Consider the following 12,539-nt stretch of genomic DNA (forward strand, 5'->3'; position numbering starts at 1 on the left):
TGTCGCTCAGGCGCAGTGGTGCACTCAGCTCACTGAAACCTCTGCCTCCCCCTGGACTCAAGCGATCCTCCCACTTCAGCCTCCCAAGTAGCTGGGACTACCAGCACACACCACCCACATCCAGCTCGTTTTTGTTATTTTTTGTAGAGACGGGGTTCGAAATGTATTTCTTAAAGAGTAAGACTTGGCCGGGTGCAGTGGCTGACACCTGTAATCCCAGCACTTTGGGAGGCCGAGGCGGGTGGATCACGAGGTCAGGAGATCGAGACCATCCTGGCTAACACAATGAAACCCCGTCTCCACTAAAAATACAAAAAAATAGCTGGGCGTGGTGGTGGGCACCTGTAGTCCCAGCTGCTCAGGAGGCTGAGGCAGGAGAATGGCATGAACCTGGGAGGCGGAGGTTGCAGTGAGCCGAGATCGCGCCACCGCACTGCAGCCTGGGCGACAGAGCAAGACTCAGTCTCAAAAAAAAAAAAAAAAAAAAAAGTAAGACTTGCAAGTCAAAATTACTCCTTGATCCATGGGCTACAGAATGGATGTTGTGTTAGCAGGCATGAAAACATTAATCTCCCTGTACATCTCCAGAGTTTGTAGGTGACCAGGTGCATTGTCAATGAGCAGTAATATTTTGAAAGGAATCTTTATTTCTGAGGAGTAGATCTTAACAGTGAGCTTAAAATATTCTGTAACCCATGCTGCAAACATATGTGCTGTCATGCAGGTTTTGTTGTTTTATTTATAGAGCACAGCAGAATACATTTAGCATAATTCCTAAGGCCCTAGGATTTTCAGAATGGTAAATGAGGATTGGTTTCAACTTAAAGTTACCAGGTGCATTATCTCCTAATAAAAAGAGTTAGTCTGTCCTTTGAAGCTCTGTAGCCAGGCCTTGACTTCTCTCTAGCTGTGAAACTTCTATGTGGCATCTTCTTCCAATAGAAGGCTGTTTTGTTTGCTTTGAAAATCTGTAATTTAGTGTAGCCACCTTCATCAATGATCTTAGCTAGATCTTCTGGATAACTTTCTGCAGATTCTATATCAGCACTTGCTGCTTCACCTTGCATTTTTATGTTATGGAGGTGGCTTCTTTCCTTGAGCATTATGAACCAACCTCTCCTAGCCTCCTCACCACTCTCAGTCTTTATAGTATTGAAGAGAATAGGCTGGGCTCAGTAGCTCACACCTATAATCCCAGCACTTTGGGAGGCCAAGATGGAAGGATCACTTGAGGCCAAGGGTTGGAGACCAGTGTGGGCAACATAGTGAGTGTTGGCATGCACATGTAGTCCCAGCTACTTAGGAGGCAGAGCAGGAGGATTGCTTGAGCTCAGGAGTTTGAGACTGCAGTAAGACATGATCATGCCACTGCACTCCAGGCTGGGCAACAACGCAAGACACTGTCTCTTAAAAAAAAAAAAAAAAAGAGTTGGGGCCTTGCTCCAGATTAGGCTTTGGTTTAAGGGAATGTTGTGGCTGCTTTGATCTTCTATCCAGACCACTAACACTTTCTTGATATCAGCAATAAGGCTATTTCACTTTTGTATCATTCATGTGTTCACTGAAGTGTAGTACCTTTTAATTTCCTTTAAGAACTTTTCCTGGACAGGTGCAGCGGTTCACTTCTGTAATCCCAGCACTTTAGGCAAAGACAGAAGGATCACTTGAGCCCAGGAGTTTAAGACCAGCCTGGGCAACATAGTGAGACCCCTGTCTCTACAAAAAATTTAAAAATTAGCCAAACTTCGTGGCCTGCACCTGTAGTCCCAGCTCAGCGAGAGGAGGATCACTTGAACCAGGGAGGTCAAGGCTGCAGTGAGCTGCAATCATGCCACCGGATTAGGCTTTGATTTAAGAGAATGTTGTGGCTGCTTTAATCTTCTACCCAGACCACTAAAACTTTCTCCATGTCAGTAATAAGACTGTTTCACTTTCCTGACAGAAAGTGACCCTGTCTCAAAAACCCCAAAAACTAAGGTATTCATGTACTAATAATATATTTTAGACTACTAACAGTTACAATGAAAATAGAATCCATAGGAAAAAAATTAACTCTTAGGGCTTTATGGTCACAGGACATTTCTATTTTATTTATTTTATTTATTTTTATTTTTTGAGACAGTCTTGCTCTGTTGCCCAGGCTGGAGTGCAGTGGTGTGGAATGCAGTGGTGTGATCACTGCTCACTGCAACCTCAAATTCCTGGGCTCAAGTGATCTTCCCATCTCAGCCTCCTGAGTAGCTGGGTGGGTGCCACCATCTTTGGCTAATTTGTGTATATTTTGTATAGATAAGGTTTCACCATGTTACTCAGGCTGGTCTAGAACTCCTGGGCTCAAGTGATCCTCCTGCCATGGTCTCCCAAAGGACTGGAATTGCAGGTGTGAGCCACCACACTGGGCCCAGAAACTATAAAAAATTAAATTTTTTGGCTGGGCACGGTGGCTCACGCCTGTAATCCCAGCACTTTGGGAGGCCGAGGCAGGCGAATCACTAGGTCAGGAGTTCGAGACCAGCCTGGCCAACATGGTGAAACCCCATGTCTACTAAAAAAAAAAAAAAAAAAAAGTAGCTGGGTGGTGGCGGGCGCCTGTAATCCCAGCTACTTGGAAGGCTGAGGCAGGAGAATCGCTTGAACCCAGGAAGCAGAGGTTGCAGTGAGCCAAGATCGTGCCACTGCACTTCAGCCGGGGCGACAGAGTGAGACTCCATCTCAAACAAACAAAAAATTAAATTTTTTGAGTTACTTTTCTTGCAGAGAAATGTGATAAATGGTCAATAAAAGACTTTCAGGCATAAAAACATATTAGGATAAATTCTGTGAGGGAGTAGAATGGAAATATAATTTCTGATGTAAAATCTTGTCATGTTTTAATGGATAAAGGTGAAGTATCTAATCACTGTAGTATTTACATTTCATTGGATACATTTGAAACAGTGATATAATGGATTTATTTTGAAATGTCAGTATATGATACACTAGAAATTATGTCCTTTGCAACTATTTAAAACCACAATGAGACCAGGCATGGTAGCTCATGCCTGTAATCCCACCACTCTGGGAGGCCAAGGCAGGAAGATCACCTGAGGCCAGGAGTTCAAGACCAGCCTGGTCAACTTAGTGAGACTTTGTCTCTACAAAATAAATATTGAAACAAGGTCTCACTCTGTTGCTTAGGCTTGGAGTGCAATAGTGCCATCACGGCTCACTGCAATGTCAACCTCCTGGGCCCAAGTGATCCTCCCATTTCGGCCTCCCAAGTAGCTGGAATTACAGGCACGTGCCACTATGCCCAGCTAATTTTTTTAATTTTTGTAGGGACGGCGTCTCACTGTGTGAGACCAGCTCAAGGTGGTCCCGAACTCCTGTGGCTCCTCAGGCTGGTCCCAAAGTGCTGGGATTACAGGCATGAGCTACCACACCTGGCCAAAAAATAAAAAATAACCAACCATGGTGATGCATTCCTGTAGTTCTAGCTACTCAGGAGGCTAGGGCAGATGATCACTTGAGCCCAGGAGTTTGAGGCTGCAGTGAGCCGTGATAGCACACTGCATTCCAGCCTGGGCAAGCGTGAGACACTGTCTCAAAAAAATAAATCATAAAACTTTAATAAATAAAAATGAGTGGAAAGAATTTTTTTTTTTAAGACGGAGTCTTGCTGTTGTTGCTCAGGCTGGAGTGCAATGGCACAATCTCGGCTCACTGCAACCTCCGCCTCCCGTGTTCAAGCGATTCTCCTGCCTCAGCCTCCAGAATAGCTGGGATTACAGGCGCCCGCCACCGTGCCCAGCTAATTTTTTTATTTTCAGTAGAGACGGGGTTTCACTATGTTGGCCAGGCTGGCCTCAGGCGATCCATCCACCTCAGCCTCCCAAACTGCTGGGATTATAGGCGTGAACCACCATGCCCAGCCTAGTTCAAAATTCTTTTATAGGGTTCATTGAAGGTCACTATTCCAAGGTATGGGCTTTAGGATCTGGAAGGAATCTGATTGATTATCCAATCTGTCTTGATCAGTTTATAAAGGAAATTGATTTACTGAGGACTGAAGAGGGTTCATTGATTTTCCTAAAGTCACACAGTTGGGCCCAGAACTCAGGTGTCCTTGCTTGCTCATTCCTTTCACTACTTCCGCTGTGCTCTGAAATCCCACCACTGGTTTTGAGGAATGAGGAAGAAAGAAAAAGTGATCTCGAAACAGTTACTGACTAACAGGCACTCTCCGTGGATAGGTAGCTGACTGCCCTGCTGTCGCCGCCTCAGCAGTCAGACTGGGAGGGCAGGCTTATATGGAGAGCCCTGAGGCCCAGGGTAGTTGGTTGGAGGATGGAACTTAAGGTTTCAATTGACTCCTGTCTGGCAATTGCCCTTTTAGGGTCTCCTCTACCTCTGTCACCTGGGAGTAAACCTAATCTTTAGGGATCTGAGGGTCAACGTGATCAACAGATGAAACCGCCAGTTTATACAGCAGCCCTGGGCCAAACTAGTCCCTTAGAGACCCTCAATCCAGACAGGAACTAGGGCAGAGCCAAGCTGCTGGGGTCACAGGGCACTGAAGTGGATACCCATGCTGATCTGCCTCCCAAGGCCTATGATGGCCACAGTGCTGTGCACAGCCACCTTGCTGCATCCTGCTGTTGGTGGGCTCTTGTGCTCAGAACCCCAGGAGAAGGGCTAGATCACACTGATAAGACTGGCAGCTTTTTTTAAAAAACGACTTTCAAGGTTTGGTTATTTTTATCTCCATGACCTCTGATTTCCCTGTGGAGCAAATGGTAAAGTAGGGGTGGGTGGAGAGGGACTTTGGCAGACTATGGACAAGGACAGCCCTGAACAGCTGGCCCTGTCACAGGAACTGGAACATGGTCGGAGCCAAGGACACAGGACTAACAGGAAAGGACACAGACTGCTGTCAGGACACATACTACCACACACCCGAGGCCAGGACCCTGCTGACGTGGCAGACCTCCACCCTGGCCCCTTACTGCCCCCCGCCCCTCTCCCCCACCTGCCAGCTGCCAACAGGGCTCTGCCTTGTGTCTGCCACACCTGTCACTGCCTATCCTTGTCCAGGGGGGGCCCCATCAGCCCCTCCTCAGCTGCCCAGCAAAGCAAGCAGTTAGTGGGGAGGGGAGGGAACATGGAGCGGGGGCCGGTGGTGGGGGCAGGACTGGGGGCCGGGGCCCGAATCCAGGCACTGCTGGGCTGCCTGCTCAAGGTGCTGCTCTGGGTGGCCTCTGCCTTGCTGTACTTTGGAAGCGAACAGGCCGCCCGCCTTCTGGGCAGCCCCTGCTTACGGCGCCTCTACCATGCCTGGCTGGCAGCAGTGGTCATCTTTGGGCCGCTTCTGCAGTTCCATGTCAACCCTCGGACTATCTTCGCCAGCCACGGCAACTTCTTCAACATGTGAGTCCACTCAAGGCTGTGGGAGCCGGGTCCCTGCACTCTGGGATCCTAGCTCCCTTCTCCAGGCTTCTGTCCTCCTGCCAGTCTGAACACTAAAAATAGGCTAGGAGGTTGAGGAAAAGGTCGGGGGAGGGGGAAGGGAACAGAGCCCTGGGGTACAGGGGAAGTTGGGAACAGGACTAAAGAGGAAATATGGACCCTGGAATGCTGAATTGTCTTCCAAGGAGATAGCAAAGGTTAAATGACTGGGGGCTGTAAAGGGCACGGCAAGGAGAGAACGAGTGATGATGTGTAGGGTTGGGGAGAGTGCAGTGATGGGAGCACAGACCAGGGTGGGAGATGGAGCTTGGGGTCTCAATAGTCTCCCTTCTTTGCCCACAGAAAATTTGTGAATTCAGCCTGGGGCTGGACATGCACTTTCTTAGGGGGCTTTGTGTTGCTGGTGGTGTTCCTGGCTACACGGCGCGTGGCAGTAACTGCCAGACACCTGAGCCGACTGGTAGTAGGGGCAGCCGTGTGGCGGGGAGCCGGCCGGGCCTTCCTGCTCATCGAGGACCTGACTGGCTCCTGCTTCGAGCCACTGCCCCAGGGTCTGCTGCTCCACGAGCTGCCTGACCGCCGCAGCTGCCTGGCAGCCGGCCACCAGTGGCGAGGCTACACCGTCTCCTCCCACACCTTCCTGCTCACCTTTTGCTGCCTGCTCATGGCAGAGGAAGCAGCTGTGTTCGCCAAGTACCTGGCCCATGGGCTTCCTGCCGGCGCCCCACTGCGCCTTGTCTTCCTGCTGAACGTGCTGCTGCTGGGCCTCTGGAACTTCTTGCTGCTCTGTACCGTCATCTATTTCCACCAGTACACTCACAAGGTGGTGGGCGCCGCAGTGGGCACCTTTGCCTGGTACCTCACCTATGGCAGCTGGTATCATCAGCCCTGGTCTCCAGGGAGCCCAGGCCATGGGCTCTTCCCCCGTCCCCACTCCAGCCGCAAGCATAACTGAAAGAAATAAAAACCATCGGGCCTGGCTGTGGCTCCTCTCATCATTTGGTTGGGTCCTTGAAAGGGTGGGAAGAGGGTCTGGTAGTCACTAGGGTTCCCCAGCCATTCCTTGCTCTCATCAACCTTGAATGTCCTTCCTTATGCTTGACCTCCATCCCTCCAGCTGTCCTTTCAGTCTCCTAGTTTTTGCAGACTTCAGGCTATCTGGGGACTGAGACATCCAGGAATGGTGCTTCTAAGGTAATGCCCTTAGGTGTGGGCATCATTCTTGCTGAGCAGTTGCTCCATCTCCAGCCTGTTTGATTGTTTTTCCTGCCTTCTCCACTGAATCTCCACTCCCTCTCTTCAGGGGCCTACCTATCTGGGCACTCCTCGCAGGGACTTTTCCTACCCTGTCTTCCCCGTAGGGGGTCTGTATGTGCTCATCTATTTAACAAATGTTTATTGAGCTGAGCATAGTTCTATGCCATGTAAATAAGACAAGATTTCTGCTGTTTGGAGGCATATGAGCTAACTGGGGAAGGCAGATAATAGATCACACAAATAATAGCAAAACACTTGCACTGCGTTTACTCTGTGCCAGACACTGTTCTAAGTGTCTGTAAGTTCTTTATAAAAGTTAACGCATATGGCCGGGCGCGGTGGCTCACGCCTATAATCCTAGCACTTTGGGAGGCCGAGGTGGGCAGATCACTTGAGGTCAGGAGTTCAAAACCAGCCTGGCCAACATGGTGAAACTCCATCTCCACTAAAAATACAAAAAAAAAAAAAAAAAATTACTTGGGTGTGGTGGCGGGCGCCTGTAATCCCAGCTACTTGGGAGGCTGAGTCAGGAGAATCCCTTGAACCCGGGAGGCGGAGGTTGCAACGAGCTGAGGTTGCACCACTGCACTCCATCCTGGGCAACAAGAGTGAAATTCCATCTCAAAAAAAAAAAAGTTAACACATTTGGTCCTCACAACAATAAAAGTATGAGGTAGGTTGTACTGATCTTGATTGGCAAAAAAAAAAAAAAATTGAGATAGTAGTGTTCCCATTGTACAGTTGCAAACACTGAGACACAGAGGTTAAGTAACTTGTTCACAACTAATAAACAGAGGAGCCATGATTACAAAGCTAGATAATATGGGTATATCATCTATCCTCTAAACCAGGAATTAGCAAACTTTGGCCCTCCTGTGGCCAGTTTTGTATGACCTGCGAGCTAATAATTATATATGTATAATATATATATTTATATATTATATATATTATTATATATTTTATATATAATATTTGCATATATAATATATATATAATTTTTTTTTAAAGACAGAGACCTGGCAGTGATGGCAGTGTAATCCCAGCACTTTGGGAGGCTGAGGCAAGAGGATCACTTGAGCCCAGGAGTTTGAGACCAGCCTGGGCAAGATGGTGAGACCCTGTCTGTATAAAAATTTTTTTTAAAAGGTAAAACATTTTTTACATTTTTATTTTTATTTTATTTTTATTATTTTTTTGGAGACAGAGTCTCACTCTGTTGCCCAGGCTGGAGTGCAATTCTGGCTCACTGCAACCTCCACCTCTCAGGTTCAAGCGATCTCCTGTCTCAGCCTCCCGAGTAGCTGGGATTACAGGCCCCCACCACCACACCCGTCTAGTGTTTGTATTTTTAGTAGGCACAGGGTTTCACCATGTTGGCCAGGCTGGTCTCGAACTTCTGACCTCAAGTGATCTGCCTGCCTTGGCCTCCCAAAGTGCTGGGATTAGAGGCGTGAGTCACTGTGCCCGGCCATTTTTACATTTTTTAATGGTTGAAAAAGCAAAAGAATAAGAATATTTTATTACAGGAGAAAGTTACATGAAATTCAAATTCCAGTGTCTATAAAATGTTATCTCACCAAACTAATTCATTTACATATGGCAGCTTTCCTACTACAATGGCAGAGTTGAGTAGACAGACACTGTAAGGCCTATAAAGCCTAAAATATTTACTCTCTGGCCCTTTATAGAAAAAGTTGGCCAGACGCGGTGGCTCATGCCTGCAATCCCAGCACTTTGGGAGGCCGAGGCGGGCGGATCACGAGGTCAGGAGATCGAGTCCATCCTGGCTAACATGGTGAAACCCCGTCTCTACTAAAAATACAAAAAATTAGCCGGGCGTGGTGGGACGCGCCTGTAGTCCTAGCTACTCCGTAGGCTGAAGCAGGAGAATCGCTTGAACCCTGGAGGTGGAGGTTGCAGTGAGCCTAGATGGTGCCACTGCACTCCACCCTGGGCGACAGAGCGAGACTCCGTCCCCCAACACACACACACACACACACACACACACACACGTTTGCCAAAACCTGGTTTAAATCAGTAAATTATCCTGGAAAAAAAAAAAAAAACACCTGGCTAATATCAGAGAGATAAATGCTATGAATGTACTAAAACAGGATGATTTGTAATAGATTTGGAGGGAGGTTCCTTATAAAGGATGATGAAAATAGTTCTCTCTGAAGAGGTGACATCTAAACTGAGAACCGAATGACAACACCCAGGGTAAGGGTGTTTTAGGCAAAGGGATTATTAGCAAGGGCAAAGGCCCTGAGGCAGAAATGAACATGACACATCTGAGAAACAAATAGCCCAAATATTTGCAAGTGTAATGAATGAAGGGGCAAGCAGTAGAAAGTGGACTTAAAGGGGAGACAGGTGCGACAGCCTTTTGGATTTCATTCAAAGGTCAACAGGCAGCTGAGAAAGGGTTTTAAGCCAGAGAGAGGCATGAACCCGCTGCTCCGTGAGAGTGGGTTATAGAATGGCATCTGCAGCCGTGGTCCAGGAGAGAGTTGGTCCGGGCTTGGATAGGGATGCTGCCAGCTCTGGTGCCGGTGTTGCTACAGGTGCGCAGGATGTCGGCAGAGCCAGAGGCCCACGCTAGCAAGGCTAGGAAAGACAGGCCAGGTCTTATTCCATCTCTAGGGAAAGACGGAAGAGCCCTAAGTAAAGCTTATCTGTCCCAGGCGGAGCAGGGGAAGAAGAGAGCAGGTGGGGAGCCAGTTGGGAGGCGGGAGGTGGAGGTTGGGACGCGGAGAGACTGGCTTGGGCTTGGCGATGGGAGGACCCGGACCCGCCGTCCTCAGGCGGCGGGCGGCAGGTGGCGGGAGGCGGGAGGCGGGGACCGGGCCAGCGGAGGTGGGGAGCCTGGAAGCTGGCCCTCGCGAGGCGGCGCGGGGAGGGTGGGTGAAGAGCGCCTGTGCGCGCTAGGCGGAGCCTCACCCGCCGCCCTCCTCTGCGGCACCGCCCCTTCCATGGCAGGGCTGACCCCGCCTCCTCCATCCGACCCCGCCTCCTCCAGCCCTCCCCGCCCCACTACCCAGGAAGGCGGAGCTGGGTGCGAGCGCCCTACCGCTTTCGCTTTCCCTTCGCGGTGCCCACTCCACTCCTTGTGCGGCGCTAGGCCCCCCGTCCCGGTCATGGCCATGCTCAGGGTCCAGCCCGAGGCCCAAGCCAAGGTGAGCGCCGCGGGGTCTAGAAAGGGCCCACTGGGGAGGCGTGGCTGGAGCGGCCGGGGGCATCCCCGACCCGCCCCCCAGGCTCCCACGCGAGTCGGGGGCAGTCGGCCGAGCTGGCGCGCCCGGAGCACCTGCGCCCCGGGGAGGGCGGCGACTGCTGCCTGCGGGGAGAGGCGAGGCGGCCGTGGTTCTGCGGGGTGAGGTGAAGCGGAGAGCTGGCGTGGAGGGGAACTCCGCTGGCCTGGGGCCGGGGCCACACACAGACTGGGTGCGGGACTGCCCCAGCTACCTTCTGGCCTTTCCCTCAGGGAGGGTCCCGGGGCCCACCCCATCCCTGTCCTACTTGCAGAGGACTCTCAGCACCCCTCCTCACACCTGCCAGGCGACCCCAGAGATCTGTTCTCACGTGAACACTGGCCCTTCACCGCCAGGAATGTTCTCATCCCCCATATCCAGCCCCAGGGATACCCACTCCACTTTCCGTAGATCCAGGTCTGCAGAGATCCACCTTCTCCACCACCCCAACCCACCCTACAGGCATCCATCTCGCTTTCTTCAGGTCTGGCCTTAGAGGGATCCCCTCCACCCTTCCCCAGGTCAGGCCCTACATAACCCTAAGGGAACTGTCCTCAAATGAACTGGCCTTAAAGCCAAGTTTCTGAAGGGATGCGTGTGCCCCACAGGTGGATGTGTTTCGTGAAGACCTCTGTACCAAGGTAAGACATGCCCCATCAGCGTGGCCCCACCCCTGCCCAACTCCTACTGCTCAACCCTGCCTCACTACCTAGGACGGGCATTTGATGCTGACTCCCATCCTCCTCCACCCCCACCTCACACACAGACAGAGAACCTGCTCGGGAGCTATTTCCCCAAGAAGATTTCTGAGCTGGATGCATTTTTAAAGGTACCGCGGCTGGGCAGGGAGCTAGGGAGTAAAGGCCAAGAGAAGAGTCTGGAGGCTGTGAGAGTGAGGTGAGAGGAACTCCCTCACCTCCAGCCCTCCTCCCACCCTACACCAGGAGCCAGCTCTCAATGAAGCCAACTTGAGCAATCTGAAGGCCCCATTGGACATCCCAGTGCCTGATCCAGTCAAGGAGAAAGAGAAAGAGGAGCGGAAGAAACAGCAGGAGGCAAGCTGGGAAGACCTGGGAGAAGGGATCCAACTATGGGGGTAATCAACCTTAGTCCTGACTCTCATGAGCTCCTCTCTTTCTGCAGAAGGAAGACAAGGATGAAAAGAAGAAGGGGGAGGATGAAGACAAAGGTACTTGAAACCACAATGGTGGGAAGAGACTTGAGTCCCACTCACAGGAGCTCCTCCTAAGGATTTCTTTCCAGTCTCCCCTTCGCCCCTCACACAGGCTCAATCATGTGACTGACCCATTGCTCACTCTCTAGGTCCTCCCTGTGGCCCAGTGAACTGCAATGAAAAGATCGTGGTCCTTCTGCAGCGCTTGAAGCCTGAGATCAAGGATGTCATTGAGCAGCTCAACCTGGTAAGCCCTCCCCCTTAAACTCTCAGGCTTCAAGTCAAACCATTGTCCTCTTGGTCCCTGCCATTTAGGGCCTGGCACTTGCCAGGTTTTAGCAAGAGAGGGCACAGCAAGTGAAACCAGAAGTCCAGGCCCTGGGGCTCAGGATAGACCCGGCACGCCTCCACCCAGTGTGGGGAGGGAAGCAAGGGAGAATATGAAACTGGGAATTGGGTAGAGGGCTGATGTGGCATTATGCCATTCCCTCTTCCCAGGTCACCACCTGGTTGCAGCTGCAGATACCTCGGATTGAGGATGGTAACAATTTTGGAGTGGCTGTCCAGGTGAGAGCGCTGCCCCACTTCCCTGCTCTTTTCTAGTCCATGCTTCCTTCCACTTTCCCCCTTGCTTTTTTTCCCTAGGAGAAGGTGTTTGAGCTGATGACCAGCCTCCACACCAAGCTAGAAGGCTTCCACACTCAAATCTCTAAGTGAGTGACCACCCATGTGCACACTGTTTTTGTTTTGGGAGACCTCCTTCTTCTACTCCATACACACTTCTCCTTCCACAGGTATTTCTCTGAGCGTGGTGATGCAGTGACTAAAGCAGCCAAGCAGCCCCATGTGGTAGGTGAGGCCCAGGTCAGGGTGCATGGGGGAAGGACACATGTAAGGTCAGGCCTGACCCGAGCTTCCCACAGGGTGATTATCGGCAGCTGGTGCACGAGCTGGATGAGGCAGAGTACCGGGACATCCGGCTGATGGTCATGGAGATCCGCAATGCTTATGTGAGGAGGCAAGGGCAGGGCAGGGGTGGGCAGAGGCAGCTTTCCCAGGCCACCCACTCCCTGACCCTGCAGGCTAGGGGTTAAGGGTGACAAAGCTCAGCTTCTCCACAAGGCTAGAAATGGGGCACAGAGCCACTGGAGGCCTCTGACTGACCTCTACTCCCTGGCCCTGTAGGCTGTGTTATATGACATCATCCTGAAGAACTTCGAGAAGCTCAAGAAGCCCAGGGGAGAAACAAAGGGAATGATCTATTGAGAGCCCTCTCTCCCATTCTGTGATGAGTACAGCAGAGACCTTCCTGCTTTTTACTGGGGACTCCAGATTTTCCCCAAACTTGCTTCTGTTGAGATTTTTCCCTCACCTTGCCTCTCAGGCACAATAAATATAGTTATACCACTGCC

General features: G+C 50.9%; 2 protein-coding genes across 5 annotated transcripts, besides 2 other annotated features; both read left to right on the plus strand.

Moving 5' to 3' along the window:
- Nucleotides 1-4,235: 4,235 nt before the first annotated feature.
- FITM1 (fat storage inducing transmembrane protein 1) lies at nucleotides 4,236-6,424 on the plus strand. The gene is made up of 2 exons (NM_203402.3): nucleotides 4,236-5,406; nucleotides 5,788-6,424. Exons 1-2 carry the CDS (start codon nucleotides 5,141-5,143, stop codon nucleotides 6,398-6,400), a joined length of 879 nt encoding a protein of 292 aa, NP_981947.1. The 5' UTR covers nucleotides 4,236-5,140; the 3' UTR covers nucleotides 6,401-6,424.
- Nucleotides 9,345-9,764: a silencer, noted in NCBI's record as "silent region_5623". NCBI's record gives its function as "represses an Ori minimal core promoter by ATAC-STARR-seq in GM12878 lymphoblastoid cells {active_cell/tissue: GM12878}" and the evidence as "EXISTENCE:reporter gene assay evidence [ECO:0000049][PMID:35858748]".
- PSME1 (proteasome activator subunit 1) lies at nucleotides 9,771-12,539 on the plus strand. Of its 4 annotated transcripts, none has more exons than NM_001281528.2 (11): nucleotides 9,771-9,878; nucleotides 10,562-10,594; nucleotides 10,720-10,782; nucleotides 10,898-11,008; nucleotides 11,097-11,142; nucleotides 11,277-11,374; nucleotides 11,626-11,694; nucleotides 11,773-11,840; nucleotides 11,922-11,976; nucleotides 12,051-12,145; nucleotides 12,313-12,539. In NM_001281528.2, the coding sequence occupies exons 1-11, from the start codon at nucleotides 9,840-9,842 to the stop codon at nucleotides 12,335-12,337; spliced, it is 702 nt and encodes a 233-aa protein (NP_001268457.1). In that variant the 5' UTR covers nucleotides 9,771-9,839; the 3' UTR covers nucleotides 12,338-12,539. The 4 variants fall into 4 exon arrangements, with proteins under 4 accessions (NP_001268457.1, NP_006254.1, NP_001268458.1 ...); NM_006263.4 differs by having other exon boundaries at nucleotides 12,051-12,137; NM_001281529.2 differs by having other exon boundaries at nucleotides 11,812-11,840; nucleotides 12,051-12,137.
- Nucleotides 9,815-10,104: a silencer, noted in NCBI's record as "silent region_5624". NCBI's record gives its function as "represses an Ori minimal core promoter by ATAC-STARR-seq in GM12878 lymphoblastoid cells {active_cell/tissue: GM12878}" and the evidence as "EXISTENCE:reporter gene assay evidence [ECO:0000049][PMID:35858748]".

This window comes from Homo sapiens, chromosome 14 (assembly GCF_000001405.40).
Source record: "Homo sapiens chromosome 14, GRCh38.p14 Primary Assembly".
NCBI classification, from domain to species: domain Eukaryota; kingdom Metazoa; phylum Chordata; class Mammalia; order Primates; family Hominidae; genus Homo; species Homo sapiens.

Coding starts and splice junctions, on each gene's coding strand:
- FITM1 (NM_203402.3), top strand. CDS start 5,141: ATGGAGCGGGGGCCGGTGGTGGGGGCAGGACTGGGGGCCGGGGCCCGA. Junction 5,407..5,787: donor CACGGCAACTTCTTCAACAT/GTGAGTCCACTC, acceptor CTTTGCCCACAG/AAAATTTGTGAATTCAGCCT.
- PSME1 (NM_176783.3), top strand. CDS start 9,840: ATGGCCATGCTCAGGGTCCAGCCCGAGGCCCAAGCCAAG. Junction 10,783..10,897: donor AGCTGGATGCATTTTTAAAG/GTACCGCGGCTG, acceptor ACCCTACACCAG/GAGCCAGCTCTCAATGAAGC. Junction 11,375..11,625: donor TCATTGAGCAGCTCAACCTG/GTAAGCCCTCCC, acceptor CCCTCTTCCCAG/GTCACCACCTGGTTGCAGCT.